The sequence below is a fragment of the Homo sapiens genome, chromosome 16 (assembly GCF_000001405.40).
Source record: "Homo sapiens chromosome 16, GRCh38.p14 Primary Assembly".
Lineage (NCBI taxonomy): Eukaryota > Metazoa > Chordata > Mammalia > Primates > Hominidae > Homo > Homo sapiens.
In genome coordinates, this window is record NC_000016.10 from 16,352,133 (window position 1) to 16,377,826 (window position 25,694).

Consider the following 25,694-nt stretch of genomic DNA (forward strand, 5'->3'; position numbering starts at 1 on the left):
TTACTATGTTGCCTAGGCTGGTCTCGAACTCCCAGGCTCAAGCAGTCCTCCTACCTCAGCCTCCCCAAATGCTGGGATTACAGGTGGGAGCTACTGTACACCTGGCCTTATCTAAGCTGTTTCCCTGAAAATCCCCGTCTTGGGTAATGATTCCATTGGCCCCACCATGCCCTCTGCCTTCCTGGCTGTGCCCAAGCTTGGTCCCTGCCTGCCTGCCTGCCTCCCTCTCTGGGTCTTGAGCTCCTGTGACACATGACTCCTCTCTCTTCCTGGAGTGATCCAAGCCCTGCCACTTCCTGACTTTGCCCACACTGTACCCTCTGCCTGGGGCAACTTCATGTCTGCCCATTGTCCCTTAGGCCTCAGCCCAGGCACAAGCCCCTGCCTCCGGAGGTCATCCAGGCCTCACCAGGCTACACCCTCTCGTAAAATTGGATTCCCTCCCTTCAGGGCAGGTTTATAATGAAATCCTCCTCAGAGGCCAGGTGCGGTGACACCCATCTGTAATCCCAGCACTTTGGGAGGCTGAGGTGGGAGGATCACTTGAGGCCAGGGGGTCGAGACCAGCCTGGGCAACATAAGAGAGACTCTTGTCTCTATAACAAATTTAAAAATTACCTCACCAGGCCAGGCTCAGTGGCTCATGCCTGTAATCCCAACACTTTGAGAGGCCGAGGCAGGTGGATCACGAGGTCAGGAGTTCGAGAGCAGCCTGACCAACATGGCGAAACCCTGTCTCTACTAAAAATACAAGATTAGCCAGGCATGGTGGCACGCACCTGTAATCCCAGCTACTCGGGAGGCTGAGGTAGGAGAATTGCTTGAACCCAGGAGGTGGAGGTTGCGGTGAGCCAGGATCACGCCATTGCAGTCCAGCCTGAGCAACAGAGCAAGACTCTGTCTCGAGACAATAAAAACACACAAAAAATTAACTCGCCATGATGGCACATGCCTATAGTCCTAGCTACTTGGGAGGCTGAGGTGGGAGGATTCCCTTCAGCCCAGGAGTTTGAGGCTGCAGTGAGCCACTATGATTGTGCCACTGCACTCTAACCTGGGCAAAAGCGAGACCCCAGGCTAGAGTGCATGATTTTGGGTCACTGCAACCTCCACCTCCCAGGTTCAAGTGATTCTCCTGCCTCAGCCTCTTGAGTAGCTGCGACTACAGGCATGTGCCACCACGCCTGGGTAATTTTTGTATTTTTAGTAGAGACAGGGTTTAGTAGAGACCATGGTGAAACCCCGTCTCTATTAAACAAATCTCTACTAACCCCATCTCTACAAAAATCAGCTGGGCGTGGTAGTGCACACCTGTAATTCTAGCTACTTGGGAGGCTGAGGCACGAGAATCATTTGCATCTTGGAGGCAGAGTTTGCAGTGAGCTGACATCGCACCACTGCGCTCCAGCCGGGATGACAGAACAAGACCCTGTCTCAAAAAAAAGAAAAAGGAACAAACAACAGCAACGACAACAAAAAAACCTCTGTGTCAATCACAGCCTTCAAGCTAGGGGAGAGGCGGCCGAATTCTGCCCTCTGCTAACTAACTATAGCTTTGTGGAAATGGGTGAATGGCGTGCCCTTGTGAGCCTCAGGGCCCCATCTGTAAAATGGGCATAACTGTCATGCCCGTCTTTAAGAACAGCCTTGGGGGTAAATGAGTGGAAGTCATGGAAAGATCTCAGCCCACAACCTTCCACAGAACAGACGCTTCTCACACAGTAAGTAGCAGGAGTGCAGAGGCTGCAGGCATGAATCCAGCCAGACTGCCTGGGTTCAAGTCCCAGCTCCCACGTCTTGGTAACTATGTGGCCTCAGACAAGTTACTTAATATTTCTTTTTTTTTTTTTCAGACGGAGTTTTGCTCTGTCACCCAGGTTGGAGTGCAGTGGTGTGATCTCGGCTCATTGCAACCTCTGCCTCCCGGGTTCAAGCAATTCTCCTGCCTCAGCTTCCTGAGTAGCTGGAATTACAGGCACCTGCCACCACACACAGCTAATTTTTGTATTTTTAGTAGAGACGGGGTTTCACCATGTTGGCCAGGATGGTCTCGAACTCCTGACCTCGTGATCTGCCTGCCTCAGCCTCCCAAAGTACTGGGATTACAGGCGTGAGCCACCGCACCTGGACACGTTACTGAATATTTCTGTGCCTAGGTTTCTTCATGTGAAATGGGATTGTTGTGAGAACACAAAGGGATTCCCAGGGCAGTTCCTAGTGCATAGTCTGGCTGCCTTTGTATGTGTGTGTGTGTGTGTGTGCACGCGCGTGTGTGTGTGCACGCGCGTGTGTGTGTGTGTTTAATATAGAGACAGGGTCTCACTCTGTTGCCTAGGCTCGTTTCAAACTCCTGGGCTCCAGTGATTCTCCTGCCTCGACCCAAAGTGGTGGGATTACAGGCATGAGTCAACACACCTGGTCACTTTATATTATTATTATTTTTTTCTTTTGAGACAGGGTTTGGCACTGTTGTCCAGGTTGGAATACAGCGGTGCAATCTCAACTCACTGCAAACTCCGCCTCCCGGGTTCAAGCAATTCTCCTGCCTCAGTCTCCCGAGTAGCTGAGATTACAGACGCCTGCCACCACACACAGCTAATTTTTGCATTTTTAGTAGAGATGGGGTTTCACCATATTGGCCAGGCTGGTCTTGAACTCCTGACCTCAAGTGATCTGCCGGCCTCGGCCTCCCAAAGTGCTGGGATTACAGGAGTGAGCCACCGTGCCCAGCCATCTTTCTTTTCTTGCTTTCTCTTTCTTTTCTTTCGAGACCGGGTCTTGCTCTGTCGCCCAGGCTGGACTGCAGTGGCACAATCATAGCTCACTGCAGCCTCGACCTCCCTGGCTCAAGCGATCCTTCCTCCTCAGCCCCCCGAGTAGTTGGAACTACAGCTCCACACCACCATGCCTGGCTGATTCTTTTTTTCCTTGTAGAGATGGGGTCTTGCTATGCTGTCCATCCTGGTCTCAAACTCCTGGCCTTCCCAAAGCACTGGGATTACAGGCATAAGCCACCACAGCCAGTTTCCTTTTCTTCTTTTTAACTGGAATAGTTGACTTTTTCTTTATTAGCTGTGTGTCAGGAGGGTATTTTTGGCCTTTAGTATGTCGTCTAAGTTGCTAGTGCTTTTCTGAGATTGTAGTTTGTTTTCTAATTTTATTTATATTTTGCGTAGAAGTTGTGTATTTTAGATGGAGTTAGGTCGGCTGGTCTTTGATGTTTTATTTATTAATTATGTATGTATTTATTTATTTTTGAGGTAGAGTCTCGCCGTTTCACCCCAGCTGGAGTACAGTGATGCGATCTTAGCTCCCTGTAGCCTTGACCTCTCTGGGCTCAAGTGATTTTTCTCTCCTCTACCTCCCGAGTACTTGGGACCACAGGCGCATGCCGCCATGCCTGGCTAATGTGTATTTTTTTGTAGATACGGGGTCTCACTGTGTTGCCCAGGGTGGTTTCAAAATCCTGGGCCCAGGCGATCCTTCCGTCTCAGCTCCCACGGTGCTGTGTTACCGGCGTGTGCCCCAGTGCCTGGCCGTCTTGGAGGTCTTGTTTCTCTGGGTTTATGCCTCAAGGTGGCGCCTGCTCCCCTGTGCTCCCTGGTAGCCTGGTAGTGAGCCTGCTTCTCACACAGTCATACCTGGTTGTGGTCCCACAGTGGGACCACCCTGTTGGGTTCAGAACAGGAGATGGGGGCCCCTCGAGTCTGTGTGGGGGCTGTGGACAGGGTTGGGAGACCTTGGCTCTGTGGGGGACTGTGGACAGGGGATGGGGGGCCTTGGCCCTGCGTGGGATGGGTTGGGGGTCCGTGCCCTTCCTGGCCCTGGGTGGACAGGTCCAGGTGGCACTCGGCATAGGGCTGAGATGGGTGCAGAGGGCTGAGGCCCCCAGGCCTCTCCTGGCTTGGTTTCCCCAGATGAGTGTTCATTTGGGTCTTCCATCAGAAAGGCCCCTCCTGACCTCTGGGAGTGGGGAGCTCAAGGGTGGGAGGCCTTAGCTTGGGGATGCTGGAAATGTGTGGGATGGGCCCAGGGATGGCCTCTGGCCTACTAAGGGCTCTGGCCCTGACCCACGGCCACTCACTCCTCAGAGACGTCTCCCACAACCTGCTCCGGGCGCTGGACGTTGGGCTCCTGGCGAACCTCTCGGCACTGGCAGAGCTGTGAGTGTCCCCCAGTCGTGCCAGCATGCGGGGCTCACTCCGGGTGGGCTGGCGGCACCGCCTCTTGCTGCTCAGCTGTGGGGGCTTCCGTCAGCTTTGCCGAATCCCCCCTCTCTTCCAGGGATATAAGCAACAACAAGATTTCTACGTTAGAAGAAGGAATATTTGCTAATTTATTTAATTTAAGTGAAATGTAAGTTGTGGTTCTTTGGGTGGGGTCCTGGCTGGACCCCAGGCCCCCAGTATCCCTTCTGCCCTCCCAGTTGGTCCGTGTCCCCTTCCAGGCTTGAGACCAGATCCTGGGGGCAGTTCACTACCTGCTTGGAGCCCCCCAGTGCCGGCTTGGTTGGGGCAGGGGAGGCGGTGCTGTCAGGGTGGCTCCAGGGCCTGGTTGCCAGTGGGGGGCTGGCATAGACCCTTCCCACCAGACCTGGTCCCCAACACCTGCCCCTGCCCCGCAGAAACCTGAGTGGGAACCCGTTTGAGTGTGACTGTGGCCTGGCGTGGCTGCCGCGATGGGCGGAGGAGCAGCAGGTGCGGGTGGTGCAGCCCGAGGCAGCCACGTGTGCTGGGCCTGGCTCCCTGGCTGGCCAGCCTCTGCTTGGCATCCCCTTGCTGGACAGTGGCTGTGGTGAGTGCCGGTGGGTGGGGCAGCTCTGTCCTTCCCAGCCAGGTGGGACCTGGGCCCTGCAGACACTGGGCAGGGCTCAGGAAGGCCTCTCTGGGGGGGGCCTCCGGGCCAAGGGAACAGCATGGGAGCCTGTGAGTGCGGCGGGCGGATGGGGGGGTGTGGGGTGGAGCCAGGAGGAGCAGAACCCGGGGTCCAGTGGCTGCCTCTTCTAGGTGAGGAGTATGTCGCCTGCCTCCCTGACAACAGCTCAGGCACCGTGGCAGCAGTGTCCTTTTCAGCTGCCCACGAAGGCCTGCTTCAGCCAGAGGCCTGCAGCGCCTTCTGCTTCTCCACCGGCCAGGGCCTCGCAGCCCTCTCCGAGCAGGGCTGGTGCCTGTGTGGGTCAGCCCAGCCCTCCAGTGCCTCCTTCGCCTGCCTGTCCCTCTGCTCCGGCCCCCCGCCGCCTCCTGCCCCCACCTGTAGGGGCCCCACCCTCCTCCAGCACGTCTTCCCTGCCTCCCCAGGGGCCACCCTGGTGGGGCCCCACGGACCCCTGGCCTCCGGCCAGCTAGCAGCCTTCCACATCGCTGCCCCGCTCCCTGTCACTGCCACACGCTGGGACTTCGGAGACGGCTCCCCCGAGGTGGATGCCGCTGGGCCGGCTGCCTCGCATCGCTATGTGCTGCCTGGGCGCTATCACGTGACGGCCGTGCTGGCCCTGGGGGCCGGCTCAGCCCTGCTGGGGACAGACGTGCAGGTGGAAGCGGCACCTGCCGCCCTGGAGCTCGTGTGCCCGTCCTCGGTGCAGAGTGACGAGAGCCTCGACCTCAGCATCCAGAACCGTGTTGGTTCAGGCCTGGAGGCCGCCTACAGCATCGTGGCCCTGGGCGAGGAGCCGGCCCGAGGTGAGTGTCTGCTGCCCACTCCCCTTCCTCCCCAGGGCCATCCAGATGGGGCAGAGCCTGGTACCCCCGTCTTGGGCCCACACTGACCGTTGACACCCTCGTTCCCACCGGTCTCCAGCGGTGCACCCGCTCTGCCCCTCGGACACGGAGATCTTCTCTGGCAACGGGCACTGCTACCGCCTGGTGGTGGAGAAGGCGGCCTGGCTGCAGGCGCAGGAGCAGTGTCGGGCCTGGGCCGGGGCCGCCCTGGCAATGGTGGACAGTCCCGCCGTGCAGCGCTTCCTGGTCTCCCGGGTCACCAGGTGCCTGCCCCCACCCCCCGAGGGGCCATAGGTTGGGAGATCTCTGAAGCAGTGGGGCAGAGCCTGTGGCTGGGGAGTCTCAGGAGGAGGGAGGTGGGAGCTGGGCCGGCCCTGGTGAGCAGGTGGCGCCGGCCGGTGGGGCCGTTCCTGTCAGCTCTGCAGATGCAGAGGTGGACACGAGCTGGGGGCAGCCTCCGGACACTCCTGGGCACGCCATACGGGAGGTGGCCTGCACGGGGATCCCTGCCAGTGCCCACAGGCCTCGTGGGTGGGTGCTGCTGTGAGCCTGGGCTGGTGGGCCCTGCTCTCCGGGCTCTGAGCCTCAGTTTCCCCATCTGGAAAGGGGGACAGTGACGGGGCTCCCAGTGGGCTGCTGTGAGGGTGGGAGGATGGAGGAGTGCCCTGAGCCCCCTGCCATCCCACACCCGCCCCCAGGAGCCTAGACATGTGGATCGGCTTCTCGACTGTGCAGGGGGTGGAGGTGGGCCCAGCGCCGCAGGGCGAGGCCTTCAGCCTGGAGAGCTGCCAGAACTGGCTGCCCGGGGAGCCACACCCAGCCACAGCCGAGCACTGCGTCCGGCTCGGGCCCACCGGGTGGTGTAACACCGACCTGTGCTCAGCGCTGCACAGCTACGTCTGCGAGCTGCGGCCTGGAGGTGTGCGAGGGGCCAGGCAGGGGCCTGAGACGCTGGCTGTGGTTAGGGGCCTGCCGAGCGCCCGCGGTGGAGCCTGGGCTGAGGAGGAGGGGCTGGTGGGGGGGTTCTCGGGCGGCTCGGTCCCCAGTCTGTTCGTCCTGGTGTCCTGGGCCCTGGCCCGGCGCCTCACTGTGCACTTGCCACCCCAGGCCCAGTGCAGGATGCCGAGAACCTCCTCGTGGGAGCGCCCAGTGGGGACCTGCAGGGACCCCTGATGCCTCTGGCACGGCAGTACGGCCTCTCAGCCCCGCATGAGCCCGTGGAGGTAGTCGGCCCCCCACGTTCTAAAACCTGCCCTCCTGCCTGCCCCTGGAGGCCTCGCCTGCCCTGCCCACTGTGGGTCTCCCCAAAAAACTTGGGGGCCTTAATGTTGCTTGTGCCCAGTGAAGATGGTTGGGAAAATCCAGAGTGCAGAGAGGAAAGCGTTTACTCACATTACCCCCTTTTCTCTGAGTGTGGGTGAGTTATTCCTGAAAGGCAGGTCAGGGGTCCTGCCCCCCATGGACAGTTTCCATCGGAGTCTTCCTCTCGAGCGACAGGAGCCAGGCCTGTGGGGGTCCGATGGCTCGCTCTCCTTCCCTCCCCTCTTCCTGCGAAGTTCGGGTGGGGGGAGTCTGGGCTTCAGGCTGGGATGGGGTCTGTGGAGCTGAGGCGGCCCCCTGCCCACCAGGTCATGGTATTCCCGGGCCTGCGTCTGAGCCGTGAAGCCTTCCTCACCACGGCCGAATTTGGGACCCAGGAGCTCCGGCGGCCCGCCCAGCTGCGGCTGCAGGTGTACCGGCTCCTCAGCACAGCAGGTGGGACTCTGGGGTGGTGGGCGCCGCAGGACTCGGGGTGGCCTCTCTGAGCTCTCACGTCTGCTGGTCCTGTGGCCATCAGAGTGGTTCCCAGTCTTAGGTGGACAGAGCAGGGGTTCCAGAGACACCAGCTCATTCCAGGTGTCCTGGGGGTGGATCGGGTGGGGCCTGCCTGGGGACCGGCCTGGGTCAGTCAGCTGGCCGGAGACAGGGACGCAGCACTGGGCTGGGAGTGCTGCCCGGGCGGGGAGACCTGTCCTCACAGCAAGGCCAGGCTCGCTGGTGCAGGCAGTTGGGCATCTCTGACGGTGGCCCGTGGGCGAATGAGGGCCCCAACACCCTCCCCTCCTCGCAGGGACCCCGGAGAACGGCAGCGAGCCTGAGAGCAGGTCCCCGGACAACAGGACCCAGCTGGCCCCCGCGTGCATGCCAGGGGGACGCTGGTGCCCTGGAGCCAACATCTGCTTGCCGCTGGACGCCTCCTGCCACCCCAGGCCTGCGCCAATGGCTGCACGTCAGGGGCCAGGGCTACTCGGGGCCCCCTATGCGCTATGGAGAGAGTTCCTCTTCTCCGTTCCCGCGGGGCCCCCCGCGCAGTACTCGGTGTGTGGCCCTGACCTGGGTCTGTTCCCTGCATCTCCTCAGGCCACCTTCCTGTCTGCTGCCCAGGGTCTGGGTCTGCGCAGCAGACACACCCAGCCTGCAGGCCCCTCCCACGTCCTTGCCACCTCTGACCTCCGACCTCCGACCTCCAACCTCCGACCTCTGCAGTGCCCTTGCCCCTCTCCCAGTGGGAGAAGCTCTCGCCTGGGCCCTTGGCACGAGCTGTGCCTCCTCTTCCTCTCTCCCAGCACAGCCGCTCCTTCCTGTCTGCCAGGTCTTGGCCTGTGTCCTCTCCCCGTGTGTCCCCCTGTCTGCAACTGTCCTGCCTGTCCTTGTCACGAGCACTGTGGGGAGGCTCCCTGAGGTGTGGCTGACGAAGCGGGGAGCCCTGCGTGTCCACCCTCATCCGTCGTGCAGGGGTCCACGGGCCATGACCGTGAGGACGTGATGCAGCCCTGCCTCCCTCTCCACAGGTCACCCTCCACGGCCAGGATGTCCTCATGCTCCCTGGTGACCTCGTTGGCTTGCAGCACGACGCTGGCCCTGGCGCCCTCCCGCACTGCTCGCCGGCTCCCGGCCACCCTGGTCCCCAGGCCCCGTACCTCTCCGCCAACGCCTCGTCATGGCTGCCCCACTTGCCAGCCCAGCTGGAGGGCACTTGGGCCTGCCCTGCCTGTGCCCTGCGGCTGCTTGCAGCCACGGAACAGCTCACCGTGCTGCTGGGCCTGAGGCCCAACCCTGGGCTGCGGCTGCCTGGGCGCTATGAGGTCCGGGCAGAGGTGGGCAATGGCGTGTCCAGGCACAACCTGTCCTGCAGCTTTGACGTGGTCTCCCCAGTGGCTGGGCTGCGGGTCATCTACCCTGCCCCCCGCGACGGCCGCCTCTACGTGCCCACCAACGGCTCAGCCTCGGTGCTCCAGGTGGACTCTGGTGCCAGCGCCACGGCCACGGCTCGCTGGCCTGGGGGCAGTGTCAGCGCCCGCTTTGAGAATGCCTGCCCTGCCCTGGTGGCCACCTTCGTGCCCGGCTGCCCCTGGGAGACCAATGATACCCTGTTCTCAGTGGTAGCACTGCCGTGGCTCGGTGAGGGGGAGCACGTGATGGACGTTGTGGTGGAAAACAGCGCCAGCCGGGCCAACCTCAGCCTGCGGGTGACGGCGGAGGAGCCCATCTGTGGCCTCCGCGCCACGCCCAGCCCCGAGGCCCGTGTACTGCAGGGAGTCCCAGTGGTGAGTATGGCCGAGGCTCCACCACCAGCCCCCAGGCAGGTGCCTGCAGACAGGGTGCTCACACAGGGCGTGAGGCCTGGCTTCCCAGTGAGGGCAGCAGCCCAGTTACTGGGGACGTCGGCCCCGGGCAGGTCCTGCTGGCTGGCTCCTCAGGCTACCTGGTGGGCTTTAAATTCCTGGAAAGTCACGGCTCTGACAGCGGCTCCGCTAACTCATTCCACCGTCTCATTTCATGAAATGAATTTAAAACTCTGCTCCCTGACCTCACACGAGCCCCCGTGAGTCTCTCACGCCCTCTGCTGTGTTCTCACCTGGCTAAAGCGAGTGGCTTTTGAGGTGGAGTCTGAACCCCTGATGGGAAACTGCGGGCTGCCCGCGGTGCCACCATGCTGGGTACATGGGGGACAGGGCTGTCTCCGTCTTGCGGGTACCTGCCCCTTCACCAGGGGCCTTGGGAGGGGCCATCAGAAATGGCGTGACCTGTGCAGCCTGTCCTGGGTTCTGTAAGCCAGTGTAGGTGCTGTCCCTGTGAGGCCCGTGTGCCTCCCCTCACTGCTCCGAGCTCTCTGGCTGAGGAGCTGGGGCAGGAGCCCCGGGAGGGTCTGAGAAGACTCAGAGAGAGGTGGACTCTTTGTAGCTGGTACTAGGTTTGCTTTACAGATGGGGAAACTGAGGCACAGAGAGGTTGAGGCATTAGTAGTACTACATGGCTGGCTGGAGAGCCGGACAGTCAGTGTCCCAGCCCGGGCTTGGCTCCCATGGCATGCAGAGCCCCGGCCACCTCCTCTCCTCTGTGCCCCGCGTGGGACTCTCCAGCCTGACGGGAGGTGTGTCCAGGAGGCGACAGGCTAAGGGCAGAGTCCTCCACAGAGCCCAGGCTGACACCAGTCCCCCCGCAGAGGTACAGCCCCGTGGTGGAGGCCGGCTCGGACATGGTCTTCCGGTGGACCATCAACGACAAGCAGTCCCTGACCTTCCAGAACGTGGTCTTCAATGTCATTTATCAGAGCGCGGCGGTCTTCAAGCTCTCAGTAGGTGGGCGGGGGTGGGGAGGGGAGGGGATGGGGTGGGGCGGGGCGGGCTCCACCTTCACCTCTGCTTCATGCTGCCCGAGGACGCTGCCATGGCTGTGGGTGAGTGGAGGGAGGGACGCTAAGCAGGGCCAGGCCTCTCACCTGCCACCTGGGCCCACTGATGCCTATCCCTGCAGCTGACGGCCTCCAACCACGTGAGCAACGTCACCGTGAACTACAACATCACCGTGGAGCGGATGAACAGGATGCAGGGCCTGCGGGTCTCCACAGTGCCGGCCGTGCTGTCCCCCAATGCCACGCTGGCACTGACGGCGGGCGTGCTGGTGGACTCGGCCGTGGAGGTGGCCTTCCTGTGAGTGACTCGGGGGCCGGTTTGGGGTGGGCACCAGGCTCTTGTCCCGGCCCCAGCCTCAGCCGAGGGACCCCACATCAGGGGGTTGCTTTTCTGAGCCTCGGTTTCCCTATCTGTTGGGAGGTACTGGGTGCACAGGAGCCCTGAGGCTGCACGGGAGCCGGGAGAGGCCTCAGCACAGCCGGGTGGGCCCTGAATGGAGGCCTGGGGCGTGACTGCAGAGTGGAGCCTCAGCTGGGTCCCAAGCACCCCCTGCCCCCCCACCGCGCACCTGTGCCCCGCCACTGCGCACCCCTGTCCCGGTTCACTCACTGCCTCCCACCGCCCCGGCAGGTGGACCTTTGGGGATGGGGAGCAGGCCCTCCACCAGTTCCAGCCTCCGTACAACGAGTCCTTCCCGGTTCCAGACCCCTCGGTGGCCCAGGTGCTGGTGGAGCACAATGTCACGCACACCTACGCTGCCCCAGGTGAGGGATGAGGGGGTGAGGGGGCCACTGCCTTTCAGGCTCTGAGCACGGGGCACCCCCAGTCCCCCAGTCAAGCTGCCCCCCTTCCTCCCCAACAGCCCTCACTGTGACCTCACCTGGGCTGATGGCTTAGGTCCCTACTGGGGTGAGGGAGGGGCCAGGCGTGGGGGGAGTGGACAGGGAAGCTGGGCCCCCTGAACTGCCCCCCGCCGCGGCCTGGCTCTTGCTGCTCTGCTGCCCCGAGTGCAGCTGCACTTGGAGGCGGTGCCGTCCTCACCAGGCAGCCCTCAGTGCTGCTGCACCTGTGCTCCGTCCCGCACGTGGCTTGGGAGCCTGGGACCCTTAAGGCTGGGCCGCAGGTGCAGCCGTTCACCCCGGGCTCCTCAGGCGGGGGGCTTCTGCCGAGCGGGTGGGGAGCAGGTGGGGGTGCCGCGGCTGCCCCACTTGGGCCTGTCCCCACAGGTGAGTACGTCCTGACCGTGCTGGCATCTAATGCCTTCGAGAACCGGACGCAGCAGGTGCCTGTGAGCGTGCGCGCCTCCCTGCCCTCCGAGGCTGTGGGTGTGAGTGACGGCGTCCTGGTGGCCGGCCGGCCCGTCACCTTCTACCCGCATCTGCTGCCCTCGCCTGGGGGTGTTCTTTACACGTGGGACTTCGGGGACGGCTCCCCTGTCCTGACCCAGAGCCAGCCGGCTGCCAACCACACCTATCCCTCGAGGGGCATCTACCACGTGCGCCTGGAGGTCAACAACACGGTGAGCGGTGCGGCGGCCCAGGCGGATGTGCGCGTCTTTGAGGAGCTCCGCGGGCTCAGCGTGGACATGAGCCTGGCCGTGGAGCAGGGCGCCCCCGTGGTGGTCAGTGCCGCGGTGCAGACGGGCGACAACATCACGTGGACCTTCGACATGGGGGACGGCACCGTGCTGTCGGGCCCAGAGGCCACAGTGGAGCATGTGTACCTGCGGGCACAGAACTGCACAGTGACCGTGGGTGCGGCCAGCCCCGCCGGCCACCTGGCCCGGAGCCTGCACGTGCTGGTCTTCGTCCTGGAGGTGCTGCGCGTCGAGCCCGCCGCCTGCATCCCCACTCAGCCTGACGCGCGGCTCACGGCCTACGTCACCGGGAACCCGGCCCGCTACCTCTTCGACTGGACCTTTGGGGATGGCTCCTCCAACACGACCATGCGGGGGTGCCCGACGGTGACACACAACTTCACGCGTAGCGGCACGTTCCCCCTGGCGCTGGTGCTGTCCAGCCGCGTGAACAGGGCGCGTTACTTCACCAGCATCTGCGTGGAGCCAGAGGTGGGCAACGTCACCCTGCAGCCAGAGAGGCAGTTTGTGCAGCTCGGGGACGAGGCCCGGCTGGTGGCATGTGCCTGGCCCCCGTTCCCCTACCGCTACACCTGGGACTTTGGCACCGAAGAAGCCGTCCCCGCCCGTGTCGGGGGCCCTGAGGTGACGTTCATCTACCGAGACCCAGGCTCCTATCTTGTGACAGTCACCGCGTCCAACAACATCTCCGCTGCCAATGACTCAGCCCTGGTGGAGGTGCAGGAGCCCGTGCTGGTCACCAGCATCAAGGTCAATGGCTCCCTTGGGCTGGAGCTGCAGTAGCCGTACCTGTTCTCTGCTGTGGGCCGTGGGCGCCCCGCCAGCTACCTGTGGGATCTGGGGGACGGTGGGCGGCTCGAGGGTCCGGAGGTCACCCACGCTTACAACAGCACAGGTGACTTCACCGTTAGGGTGGCCGGCTGCAATGAGGTGAGCCGCAGCGAGGCCTGGCTCAATGTGACGGTGAAGCGGCGCGTGCGGGGGCTCATCGTCAATGCCAGCTGCACGGTGGTGCCCCTGAATGGGAGCATGAGCTTCAGCACCTCGCTGGAGGCCGGCAGTGATGTGCGCTATTCCTGGGTGCTCTGTGACCGCTGCACGCCCATCTCTGGGGGTCCTGCCATCTCTTTACACCTTCCGCTCCGTGGGCACCTTCAATATCATCGTCACAGCTGAGAACGAGGTGGGCTCCGCCCAGGACAGCATCTTCGTCTATGTCCTGCAGCTCATAGAGGGGCTGCAGGTGGTGGGCGGTGGCCGCTACTTCCCCACCAACCACACGGTACAGCTGCAGGCCGTGGTCAGGGATGGCACCAACATCTACAGCTGGACTGCCTGGAGGGACAGGGGCCCGGCCCTGGCCGGCAGCGGCAAAGGCTTCTCGCTCACTGCGCTCGAGGCCGGCACCTACCATGTGCAGCTGCGGGCCACCAACATGCTGGGCAGCGCCTGGGCTGACTGCACCGTGGACTTCGTGGAGCCTGTGGGGTGGCTGATGGTGGCCGCCTCCCCGAACCCAGCTGCCGTCAACACAAGTGTCACCCTCAGTGCCGAGCTGGCTGGTGGCAGTGGTGTCGTATACACTTGGTCCTTGGAGGAGGGGCTGAGCTGGGAGACCCCCGAGCCATTTACCACCCACAGCTTCCCCACACCCGGCCTGCACTTGGTCACCATGACGGCAGGGAACCCGCTGGGCTCAGCCAACGCCACCGTGGAAGTGGATGTGCAGGTGCCTGTGAGTGGCCTCAGCATCAGGGCCAGCGAGCCGGGAGGCAGCTTCGTGGCGGCCGGGTCCTCTGTGCCCTTTTGGGGGCAGCTGGCCACGGGCACCAATGTGAGCTGGTGCTGGGCTGTGCCCGGCGGCAGCAGCAAGCGTGGCCCTCATGTCACCATGGTCTTCCCGGATGCTGGCACCTTCAACATCCGGCTCAATGCCTCCAACGCAGTCAGCTGGGTCTCAGCCACGTACAACCTCACGGTGGAGGAGCCCATCGTGGGCCTGGTGCTGTGGGCCAGCAGCAAGGTGGTGGCGCCCGGGCAGCTTGTCCATTTTCAGATCCTGCTGGCTGCCGGCTCAGCTGTCACCTTCCGCCTGCAGGTCGGCGGGGCCAGCCCCGAAGTGCTCCCTGGGCCCCGTTTCTCCCACAGCTTCCCCCGCATCGGAGACCACGTGGTGAGCGTGCAGGGCAAAAACCACGTGAGCTGGGCCCAGGCGCAGGTGCGCATCGTGGTGCTGGAGGCCGTGAGCGGGCTGCAGGTGCCCAACTGCTGTGAGCCTGGCATCGCCATGGGCACTGAGAGGAACTTCACAGCCCGCGTGCAGCGCGGCTCTCGGGTCGCCTACGCCTGGTACTTCTCGCTGCAGAAGGTCCGGGGCGACTCTCTGTTCATCCTGTCGGGCCGCGACGTCACCTACACGCCGTGGCCGCGGGGCTGTTGGAGATCCAGGTGCGTGCCTTCAACGCCCTGGGCAGTGAGAACCGCACGCTGGTGCTGGAGGTTCAGGACGCCGTCCAGTATGTGGCCCTGCGGAGCGGCCCCTGCTTCACCAACCGCTTGGCGCAGTTTGAGGCCGCCACCAGCCCCAGCCCCCGGCGCGTGGCCTACCACTGGGACTTTGGGGATGGGTCCCCAGGGCAGGACACAGATAAGCCCAGGGCCGAGCACTCCTACCTGAGGCCTGGGGACTACCGCGTGCAGGTGAACGCCTCCAACCTGGTGAGCTTTTTCGTGGCGCAGGCCACGGTGACCGTCCAGGTGCTGGCCTGCCGGGAGCCGGAGGTGGACGTGGTCCTGCCCCTGCAGGTGCTGATGCGACGATCACAGCGCAACTGCCTGGATGCCTACGTTGACCTGCGCGACTGTGTCACCTACCAGACTGAGTACCGCTGGGAGGTGTACCGCACCGCCAGCTGCCAGCGGCCGGGGTGCCCGGCGCGTGTGGCCCTGCCCGGCGTGGACGTGAGCCGGCCTCAGCTGGTGCTGCCGCGGCTGGCGCTGCCTGTGGGGCACTACTGCTTTGTGTTTGTCGTGTCATTTGGGGACACGCCACTGGCACGGAGCATCCAGGCCAATGTGACGGTGGCCCCCGAGCGCCTGGTGCCCATCACTGAGGGTGGCTCCTACCGCGTGTGGTCAGACACACAGGACCTGGTGCTGGATGGGAGCGAGTCCTACGACCCCAACCTGGAGGACGGCGACCAGACGCCGCTCAGTTTCCAGTGGGCCTGTGTGGCTTCGACACAGGTCAGTGCGTGGCAGGGCCGTCCTCCCTGCCCCTCACCCGTCCACACCCATGAGCCCAGAGAACACCCAGCTTGCCACCAGGGCTGGCCCGTCCTCAGTGCCTGGTGGGCCCCGTCCCAGCATGGGGAGGGGGTCTCCCGCGCTGTCTCCTGGGCCGGGCTCTGCTTTAAAACTGGATGGGGTTCTCGGGCCACGTCGCCCCTTGTTCTCGGCCTGCAGAGGGAGGCTGGCGGGTGTGCGCTGAACTTTGGGCCCCGCGGGAGCAGCACGGTCACCATTCCACGGGAACGGCTGGCAGCTGGCGTGGAGTACACCTTCAGCCTCACCGTGTGGAAGGCCGGCCACAAGGAGGAGGCCACCAACCAGACGGTGGGTGCCGCCCGCCCCTCGGCCACTTGCCTTGGACAGCCCAGCCTCCCTGCTCATCTACTGTTTTCCGTGTTTTAGTGCTGGTGGAGGCCGCGCGCTCTCCCCTCTCTGTTTCTGATGCAAATTCTATGTAACACGACAGCCTGCTTCAGCTTTGCTTCCTTCCAAACCTGCCACAGTTCCACATACAGTCTTCAAGCCACATATGCTCTAGTGACAAAAGCTACACAGTCCCCCAGCAATACCAACAGTGAGGAAGAGCCCCTTCCCACCCCAGAGGCAGCCACTGTCCCCAGCCCATGTCCCTGTTGCTGGATGTGGTGGGCCGGTTCTCACCCTCATGCTCCCCACTCTGGACCGGCCAGGAGGCTTGGTGACCCTGAGCCCGTGGTGGCTGCTCCTGCTGCTGTCAGGCGGGGCCTGCTGGTGCCCCAGAGTGGGTGTCTGTTCCCCAGTCCCTGCTTTCCTCAACGGGCCTGATTGGGGGTCTGCCCAGAGGGGTCGTCTGAGGGGAGGGTGTGGGAGCAGGTTCCATCCCGGCTCAGCCTCCTGACCCAGGCCCTGGCTAAGGGCTGCAGGAGTCTGTGAGTCAGGCCTACGTGGCAACTGCGGTCCTCACACCCCCACATACGTCTGTTCCCACACGCATCCCCCCAGGGGCCCTCAGTGAGCATTGCCTGCCTCCTGCCAGGGTCCAGCTGGCTCCAGTACACCAGAACACACACCCCAGTGTCCTCTGCCCTGTGTATGCCCTTCCGCCGCCCAGGTTGGAAGGTGGCAAACCGGATGAGTATCCTGGGAGGGGGTGAGCTCACCGGCAGTGGCCAGGCCCCTGGGAAACCTGGAGTTTGGGAGCAGCATCCTCCACGGGTCCCCCAGACCTTCCAGCAGGCCAAATAGACCTGTGTTGGAGGTAACCCCACTCCCACGCCAGGTGCTGATCCGCAGTGGCCGGGTGCCCATTGTGTCCTTGGAGTGTGTGTCCTGCAAGGCACAGGCCGTGTACGAAGTGAGCCGCAGCTCCTACGTGTACCTGGAGGGCCGCTGCCTCAATTGCAGCAGCGGCTCCAAGCGAGGGGTGAGTGTTGAGCGGGGTGTGGGCGGGTTGGGGATGGGTCCCATGGCCGAGGGGACGGGGCCTGCAGGCAGAAGTGGGGCTGACAGGGCAGAGGGTTGCGCCCCCTCACCATCCCTTCTGCCTGCAGCGGTGGGCTGCACGTACGTTCAGCAACAAGACGCTGGTGCTGGATGAGACCACCACATCCACGGGCAGCGCAGGCATGTGACTGGTGCTGCGGCGGGGCGTGCTGCGGGACGGCGAGGGATACACCTTCACGCTGACGGTGCTGGGCCGCTCTGGCGAGGAGGAGGGCTGCGCCTCCATCCCCCTGTCCCCCAACCGCCCGCCGCTGGGGGGCTCTTGCTGCCTCTTCCCACTGGGCGCTGTGCACGCCCTCACCACCAAGGTGCACTTCAAATGCACGGGTGAGTGCAGGCCTGCGTAGGGGGAGCAGCGGGATCCCCCGACTCTGTGAGGTCACGGAGCCCTCCCGTGATGCTGTGGGGACCATCCCTCAGGCTGGCATGACGCGGAGGATGCTGGCGCCCCGCTGGTGTATGCCCTGCTGCTGCAGCGCTGTTGCCAGGGCCACTGCAAAGAGTTCTGTGTCTACAAGAGCAGCCTCTCCGGCTACGGAGCCGTGCTGCCCCCGGGTTTCAGGCCACACTTCGAGGTGGGCCTGGCCGTGGTGGTGCAGGACCAGCTGGGAGCCGCTGTGGTCGCCCTCAACAGGTGAGCCAGGCCGTGGGAGGGCGCCCCCGAGACTGCCACCTGCTCACCACCCCCCTCTGCTCGTAGGTCTCTGGCCATCACCCTCCCAGAGCCCAACGGCAGCGCAATGGGGCTCACAGTCTGGCTGCACCGGCTCACCGCTAGTGTGCTCCCGGGGCTGCTGCGGCAGGCCGATCCCCAGCACGTCATCGAGTACTCGCTGGCCCTGGTCACTGTGCTGAACGAGGTGAGTGCAGCCTGGGAGGGGACCTCACATCTGCTGCATGCGTGCTGGGGACCAAGACCTGTTCCCCTGCCTGGAGCTTTGCGGAGGGCTCATCCCGGGCCCCAGAGATAAATCCCAGTGACCCTGAAGCAGCACCCCGACGTTCCGCTCCCAGCAGCCACACCCACCGGGCCCTCTCCGGCGTCTGCTTTCCACAATGCAGCCCCCGCCCAGGAGGGCCCATGTGCTTACCCTGTTTTGCCCATGAAGAAACAGCTCAGTGTTGCGGGTCAGTGCCCACATCACACAGCATCTAGCACGTAACTGCACCCCGGGAGTCGTGGGCATCTGCTGGCCTCCTGCCGGCCTCCTGCCCTGCTGACAGCTTGCTGTGCCCCCTGCCTGCCCCAGTACGAGCGGGCCCTGGACGTGGCGGCAGAGCCCAAGCACGAGCGGCAGCGCCGAGCCCAGATACGCAAGAACATCACGGAGACTCTGGTGTCCCTGAGGGTCCACACTGTGGATGACATCCAGCAGATCGCTGCTGCGCTGGCCCAGTGCATGGTAGGATGGCCCCACATGCTCACCCCGCCCCGCATGCCTGCCAGGGTACTGGGTTCAGCCCCCCAGGGCAGACGGGCAGCTTGGCCGAGGAGCTGAGCCTCCAGCCTGGGCTCCTTCCTGCCGTGGCGTTCCTCGGTCTCTGACCTGCTTCAGTAGCCTCAGCCTTTCTGCTGTCCTGTGTGAACGCAGGGTGCCTCTCGGGGGACCCAGGGTGTAAAGAGGGGCCCAGATGTGGGGAGGGACTAAGAAGATGCTGCTCTGTGCCCTCCACTCTCCCCTCCCCTCCCCCTTCCCTCCCCTTTCTCCATCTCTCTCCCCTTTTCTCCATTTCCCCCCCGATCCTCCCCGTCCTTTTGTCCATTCCCCTCATCTTTCTTATCCCCCTTATCCTCCTTCCCCTCCCTTATCCTCCTTCCCCTCCCTTATCCCCCTTATCCCCCTTCCCCTCCCTTTCCCCCTGCTCCTCCTCTTCTCCCCTTTCTCTTTTCTCTACCCTTTTCCTTCCTTTTTCCTCCCTCTCCCCATCATCCCCCTCATCTTCGTCCTCATCCCCATCCCCTTCCCCCTCCCCCTCCACCACTCTCTCTCCAGCTTCCCCCTTCCTTCTGCCTGCACCTCGCTCTCTGCCCCCTCAGGTTCCCCCTTTCTCCCAGCCCCCACCCTCCAGCTCCCCCTTTTTGCCTGCCCCCACCCTCCCTCTGCCTCCCTGTCTCTGCACTGACCTCACGCCTGTCTGCAGGAGACCTCATCCACCTGGCCAGCTCAGACGTGCGGGCACCGCAGCGCTCAGAGCTGGGAGCCGAGTCACCATTGCGGATGGTGGCGTCCCAGGCCTACAACCTGACCTCTGCCCTCATGCGCATCCTCACGCGCTCCCGCGTGCTCAACGAGGAGCCCGTGACGCTGGCGGGCGAGGAGATCATGGCCCAGGGCAAGCGCTCGGACCCGCGGAGCCTGCTGTGCTATGGCGGCGCCCCAGGGCCTGGCTGCCACCTCTCCATCCCCTAGGCTTTCAGCAGGGCCCCGGCCAACCTCAGTGACGTGGTGCAGCTCGTCTTTCTGGTGGACTCCAATCCCTTTCTCTTTGGCTATATCAGCAACTACACCGTCTCCACCAAGGTGGCCTCGATGGCGTTCCAGACACAGGCCGGCGCCCAGATCCCCATCGAGCGGCTGGCCTCAGAGCGCGCCATCACCGTGAAGGTGCCCAACAACTCGGACTGGGCTGCCCGGGGCCACTGCAGCTCCGCCAACTCCGTTGTGGTCCAGCCCCAGGCCTCCGTCGGTGCTGTGGTCACCCTGGACAGCAGCAACCCTGTGGCCGTGCTGCATCTGCAGCTCAACTATACGCTGCTGGACGGTGTGTGCAGCGGGTGGGGCACACGCGGCCCCCTGGCCTTGTTCTTGGGGGGAAGGCGTTTCTCGTAGGGCTTCCATGGGTGTCTCTGGTGAAATTTGCTGTTTCATGGGCTGTTGGGGGCCTGGCCGGAGAGGAGCTGGGGGCCACGGAGAAGCAGGTGCCAGCTCTGGTGCAGAGGCTCCTATGGCCTTTCAGGCCCGTGGCAGAGGGTGGGCTCAGGAGGGCCATCGTGGGTGTCCCCCGGGTGGTTGAGCTTCCCGGCAGGCGTGTGACCTGCGCGTTCTGCCCCAGGCCGCTACCTGTCTGAGGAACCCGAGCCCTACCTGGCAGTCTACCTGCACTCGGAGCCCCGGCCCAATGAGCGCAACTGCTCGGCTAGCAGGAGGATCCGCCCAGAGTCCCTCCAGGGTGCCGACCACCGGCCCTACACCTTCTTCATTTCCCCGGGGTGAGCTCTGTGGGCCGGCCTGGCAGGGCAGGGCAGGGCATCATGGGTCAGCATTGCCCGGGTTACGGGCCCCGTGGGGACGGCAGGCAGCGAGGGGACTGGACCGGGTATGGGCTCTGGGACTCCGACATCCAACCTGGCGGAGCCTGGGCTCACGTCCACTGCCCCTTCCCTTCCCAGGACCAGAGACCCAGTGGGGAGTTACCGTCTGAACCTCTCCAGCCACTTCCGCTGGTCGGCGCTGGAGGTGTCCGTGGGCTTGTACACGTCCCTGTGCCAGTACTTCAGCGAGGAGGATGTGGTGTGGCGGACAGAGGGGCTGCTGCCCCTGGAGGAGACCTCGCCCCGCCAGGCCGTCTGCCTCACCCGCCACCTCACCGCCTTCGGCACCAGCCTCTTCATGCCCCCAAGCCATGTACGCTTTGTGTTTCCTGTGAGTGACCCTGTGCTCCTGGGAGCCTCTGCAGAGTCGAGGAGGGCCTGGGTGGGCTCGGCTCTATCCTGAGAAGGCACAGCTTGCACGTGACCTCCTGGGCCCGGCGGCTGTGTCTTCACAGGAGCCGACAGCGGATGTAAACTACATCGTCATGCTGACATGTGCTGTGTGCCTGGTGACCTACATGGTCATGGCCGCCATCCTGCACAAGCTGGACCAGTTGGATGCCAGCCGGGGCTGCGCCATCCCCTTCTGTGGGCAGCGGGGCCGCTTCAAGTACGAGATCCTCGTCAAGACAGGCTGGGGCCGGGGCTCAGGTGAGGGGCGCGGCGGGGTGGCAGGGCCTCCCCTGCTCTCACTGGCTGTGCTGGTTGCACCCTCTGGGAGTGAGTCTCGTCGCAGGCGTCAGAACAAGGCAGTTTTTGCAGTGCTGTGTGAAGGGCTCGTGTGTTCATCCTGGGAATGACCTCGTGAGCACTCACTGTCCCTGAGGACTAGGACAGCTCCTAGCTGGAAGTAGGTGCCAGTCAGTCAGGGTGGGCAGCCCACGTTCTGCACAGTAGCGTGGCCCCACAAGTGACATGAGCATCGCTACCACTGTGGGAGACCATGCATCCACCCGCGATCCTGACTGCATAGCTCGTCTCTCAGACGGAGGTGCCAGCACCCTCCCCGTGGCTGTTTCTTCAATACCTCCATTTTCCTTTATTGGAATTGCCCTTCTGGCATTCCCTTTTTGTTTTCATTTTTCTTTTTTTGGAGACGGAGTCTCACTCTGTTGCCCAGGCTGGAGTGCAATGGCGTGATCTTGGCTCACAGCAACTTCCAGCTCCTGGGTTTAAGCGATTCCCCTTAAGCGATTCTCCTGAGTAGCTGGGAGTACAGGTGCACGCCACCACACCCAGTTAATTTTTCACCATGTCAGCCAGGCGAACTCCTGACCTCAGGTGATCCGCCTGCCTCGGCCTGCCAGAGTGCTGGGATGACAGGTGTGAGCCACCACACCTGGCTGTGTTCCCATTTTTTATTTCCGTGTTGCTTTCATCTTCATTTCCCAGTTCTTTTGATTACCTACTTTTAAAAACTGTCGGCCGGGCGCGGTGGCTCACACCTGTAATCCGAGCACTTTGGGAGGCCGAGGCAGGCAAATCACGGGGTCAGGAGACCGAGACCATCCTGGCTAACGGTGAAACCCTGTCTCTACTAAAAAATACAAAAAAATTAGCCCGGCGTGGTGGCAGGCACCTGTAGTCCCAGCTCCTCGGGAGACTGAGGCAGGAGAATGGCGTGAGCCCGGGAGGCGGAGCTTGCAGTGAGCTGAGATTGCGCCACTGCACTCCAGCCTGGGTGACACAGCAAGACTCCATCTCAAAAAAAAAAAGAAAAAAAATACTGTCACCTGGGTCTGTCACTGGGAGAGGAGGTGACACAGCTTCACGCTTCGCAGTCTGTGCATGAACTGAGGGACGGGTGTGTGGTGCGGGTCACTGGTTGTGGCGTGACTGAGGCGTGGACAGGTGTGCAGCGCGGGTCACTGGTTGTGGTGTGGACTGAGGCGTGTGCAGCCATGTTTGCATGTCACAAGTTACAGTTCTTTCCGTGTAACTTAATCATGTCCTTGAGGTCCTGCTGTTTATTGGACAAATTGCAGTAACCGCAGCTCCTCGTGTATGGCAGAGCCGTGCAAAGCCGGGACTGCCTGTGTGGCTCCTTGAGTGCGCGGAGGCCAAAGCTGAGATGACTTGCCTGGGATGCCACACGTGTTGGGCAGCAGACCGAGCCTCCCACCCCTCCCTCTTGCCCTCCAGGTACCACGGCCCACGTGGGCATCATGCTGTATGGGGTGGACAGCCGGAGTGGCCACCGGCACCTGGACGGCGACAGAGCCTTCCACCGCAACAGTCTGGACATCTTCCGGATCGCCACCCCGCACAGCCTGGGTAGCGTGTGGAAGATCCGAGTGTGGCACGACAACAAAGGTCTGTGCGGACCCTGCCAAGCTCTGCCCCTCTGCCCCCGCATTGGGGCGCCCTGCGAGCCTGACCTCCCTCCCGCGCCTCTGCAGGGCTCAGCCCTGCCTGGTTCCTGCAGCACATCATCGTCAGGGACCTGCAGACGGCACGCAGCACCTTCTTCCTGGTCAATGACTGGCTTTCGGTGGAGACGGAGGCCAACGGGGGCCTGGTGGAGAAGGAGGTGCTGGCTGCGAGTAAGGCCTCGTTCCATGTTCCCACTCCGTGGGAGGTTGGGCAGGGTGGTCCTGCCCCGTGGCCTCCTGCAGTGCGGCCCTCCCTGCCTTCTAGGTCACGCAGCCCTGTTGCGCTTCCGGCGCCTGCTGGTGGCTGAGCTGCAGCGTGGCTTCTTTGACAAGCACATCTGGCTCTCCATATGGGACCGGCCACCTCGTAGCTGTTTCACTCGCATCCAGAGGGCCACCTGCTGCGTTCTCCTCATCTGCCTCTTCCTGGGCGCCAACGCCGTGTGGTACGGGGCTGTTGGTGACTCTGCCTACAGGTGGGTGCCGTAGGGGTCGGGACAGCCTCTTCCTGCCCAGCCCTTCCTGCCCCTCAGCCTCACCTGTGTGGCCTCCTCTCCTCCACACAGCACGGGGCATGTGTCCAGGCTGAGCCCGCTGAGCGTCGACACAGTCGCTGTTGGCCTGGTGTCCAGCGTGGTTGTCTATCCCGTCTACCTGGCCATCCTCTTTCTCTTCCGGATGTCCCGGAGCAAGGTGGGCTGGGGCTGGGGACCCGGGAGTACTGGGAATGGAGCCTGGGCCTCGGCACCATGCCCAGGGCCGCCACTTTCCAGTGCTGCAGCCAGAGGGAAAGGCGTCCACCAAAGGCTGCTCGGGAAGGGTCAACACACTTGAGCAGCCTTAGCTAGACTGACCAGGGAGAAAGAGAGAAGACTCAGAAGCCAGAATCGTGAAAGAACGAGGGCACTTCGCTAAGCAGACGCCACGGACAACTGCACAGCAGCACGCCAGATAACTCAGAAGAAGCAAGCACGCGGCTGTGCACGCTTCCGAAATGCACTCCAGAAGAAAATCTCAGTACATCTATAGCAAGTGAAGAGGCCGAGTTAGTCCCTTAGAAACCTCCCAGTGGCCGGGCCGGGTGTGGTGGCTCACGCCTGTAATCCCAACACTTCAGGAGGCCGAGGTGGGCGGATCTGAGTCCAGGAGTTTGAGACCAGCCTGGGCAACATAGCAAGACCCCATCTATATAAAACATTAAAAAGGGCCAGGCACGGTGGCTCACGCCTGTAATCCCAACACTTTGGGAGGCCGAGGCGGGCAGATCAGTTGAGGTCAGGAGTTCGAGACCAGCCTGGCCAACACAATGAAACCCCATCTCTACTACAAATACAAAAACTTAGCTGGGCATGGTGGCGGGCGCCTGTAGTCCCAGCTACTCGAGAGGCTGAGGCAGGAGAATGGCATGAACCCAGGAGGCGGAGCTTGCAGTGAGCCGAGATTGCGCCACTGCACTCCATCCTGGGCAATGGAGCAAGACTCCATCTCCAAAAAAAAGAAAAAAAAAATCCCACAAAGAAAAGCTTGGGCTCAGAGCCTTCACGATAGAATTTTTCTAAGCAGTTAAGGAAGAATTAACACCAATCCTTCACAGACTCTTTCCAAGAATACAGCAGGTGGGAACTCTTCCCATTCATACGGAAACGGGAGGCCGCACCCCTTAGGAATGCACACGTGGGGTCCTCAAGAGGTTACATGCAAACTAACCCCAGCAGCACACAGAGAAGGCGCATAAGCCGCGACCAGGAGGGGTTGCTCCCGAGTCCGTGGCAGGAACCAGAGGCCACATGTGGCTGCTCGTATTTAAGTTAATTAAAATGGAACGTTGGCCGGGCGTGGTGGCTCACACCTGTAATCCCAGCACTTTGGGAGGCGGAGGCGGGCAGATCACTTGAGGTCAGGAGTTCCAAGACCAGCCTGGCCAACACAGTGAAACCCCGTCTCTACTAAAAATACAAAAAATTAGCTGGGCATCGTGGCAGGCACCTGTAATCCCAGCTACTCAGGAGGCTGAGCCAGGACAATCGCCTGAACGCGGGAGGTGGAGGTTGCAGTGAGCTGAGATTGCGCCAGTGCACTCCTGCCTGGGTGACAGAGCGAGACTCCATCTTAAAAAAAAAAAAAAAATGAAATTCAAAACTCTGTTCCTTAGCTGCACCAGTCTGCTGTCAAGTGTTCAGTGGCACATGTCGCGAGGGGCTGCCATCACGGACGGTGCAGATGTCCCATATATCCAGCATTCTAGGACATTCTGTTAGATGGCACCGGGCTCTGTCCTGTCTGCTGAGGAGGTGGCTTCTCATCCCTGTCCTGAGCAGGTCTGAGCTGCCGCCCGCTGACCACTGCCGTCGTCCTGCAGGTGGCTGGGAGCCTGAGCCCCACACCTGCCGGGCAGTAGGTGCTGGACATCGACAGCTGCCTGGACTCGTCCGTGCTGGACAGCTCCTTCCTCACGTTCTCAGGCCTCCACGCTGAGGTGAGGGCTCTACTGGGGGTCCTGGGCTGGGCTGGGGGTCCTGCCGCCTTGGCGCAGCTTGGACTCCAGACACTGTGCACCTCTCAGCAGGCCTTTGCTGGACAGGTGAAGAGTGACTTGTTTCTGGATGATTCTAAGAGGTGGGTTCCCTAGAGAAACCTCGAGCCCTGGTGCAGGTCACTGTGTCTGGAGTACCGGGGGTGTGCGGGCTGCGTGTCCTTGCTGGGTGTCTGTGGCTCCATGTGGTCACACCACGTGGGAGCAGGTTTGCTCGGAAGCCCAGGGTGTCCGTGCGTGACTGGACGGGGGTGGGCTGTGTGTGTGACACATCCCCTGGTACCTTGCTGACCCGCGCCACCTGCAGTCTGGTGTGCTGGCCCTCCAGCGAGGGAACGCCCAGTTGGCCGGACCTGCTCAGTGACCCGTCCATTGTGGGTAGCAATCTGCGGCACAACCCCCACTTACTGGGTCTCTCCTTTTACAACCAACACAACCGAAATCTAGGGCTTCTTTTTTTTTTTTTTTTTTTTTGAGACAGAGTCTCATTCCATTCTGTCACCCAGGCTGGAGTGCAATGGTACGATCTCGGCTCACTGCAACCTCCGCCTCCCGGGTTCAAGGGATTGTCCTGCCTCAGCCTCCTGAGTAGCTGGGATTACAGGCGTGTGCCACCATGCCTGGCTAATTTTTGTATTTTTGGTAGAGACGGGGTTTCAGCATGTTGGTGAGGCTGGTCTCGAACTCCTAACCTCGTGATCCGCCTGCCTCAG

At 62.5% G+C, this 25,694-nt stretch overlaps 1 non-coding gene and 1 pseudogene across 1 annotated transcript, besides 4 other annotated features; both read left to right on the forward strand.

Annotated features, from left to right (window-relative positions):
- PKD1P2 (polycystin 1, transient receptor potential channel interacting pseudogene 2) lies at positions 4,285 to 25,375 on the forward strand (annotated as a pseudogene).
- Positions 9,068 to 9,765: an enhancer, noted in NCBI's record as "H3K27ac-H3K4me1 hESC enhancer chr16:16455057-16455754 (GRCh37/hg19 assembly coordinates)". NCBI's record gives its function as "activates a minimal SCP1, AML or CMV promoter by ChIP-STARR-seq in naive H9 embryonic stem cells {active_cell/tissue: H9 hESC(naive)}" and the evidence as "EXISTENCE:reporter gene assay evidence [ECO:0000049][PMID:30033119]".
- Positions 16,729 to 17,641: an enhancer, noted in NCBI's record as "H3K27ac-H3K4me1 hESC enhancer chr16:16462718-16463630 (GRCh37/hg19 assembly coordinates)". NCBI's record gives its function as "activates a minimal SCP1, AML or CMV promoter by ChIP-STARR-seq in naive H9 embryonic stem cells {active_cell/tissue: H9 hESC(naive)}" and the evidence as "EXISTENCE:reporter gene assay evidence [ECO:0000049][PMID:30033119]".
- Positions 16,744 to 16,810, forward strand: MIR6511A3 (microRNA 6511a-3). Its single transcript, NR_106970.1, has one exon. It is a non-coding gene; the product is annotated as a microRNA 6511a-3 (primary transcript).
- Positions 18,613 to 19,513: an enhancer, noted in NCBI's record as "H3K27ac-H3K4me1 hESC enhancer chr16:16464602-16465502 (GRCh37/hg19 assembly coordinates)". NCBI's record gives its function as "activates a minimal SCP1, AML or CMV promoter by ChIP-STARR-seq in naive H9 embryonic stem cells {active_cell/tissue: H9 hESC(naive)}" and the evidence as "EXISTENCE:reporter gene assay evidence [ECO:0000049][PMID:30033119]".
- Positions 22,954 to 23,455: an enhancer, noted in NCBI's record as "H3K27ac-H3K4me1 hESC enhancer chr16:16468943-16469444 (GRCh37/hg19 assembly coordinates)". NCBI's record gives its function as "activates a minimal SCP1, AML or CMV promoter by ChIP-STARR-seq in naive H9 embryonic stem cells {active_cell/tissue: H9 hESC(naive)}" and the evidence as "EXISTENCE:reporter gene assay evidence [ECO:0000049][PMID:30033119]".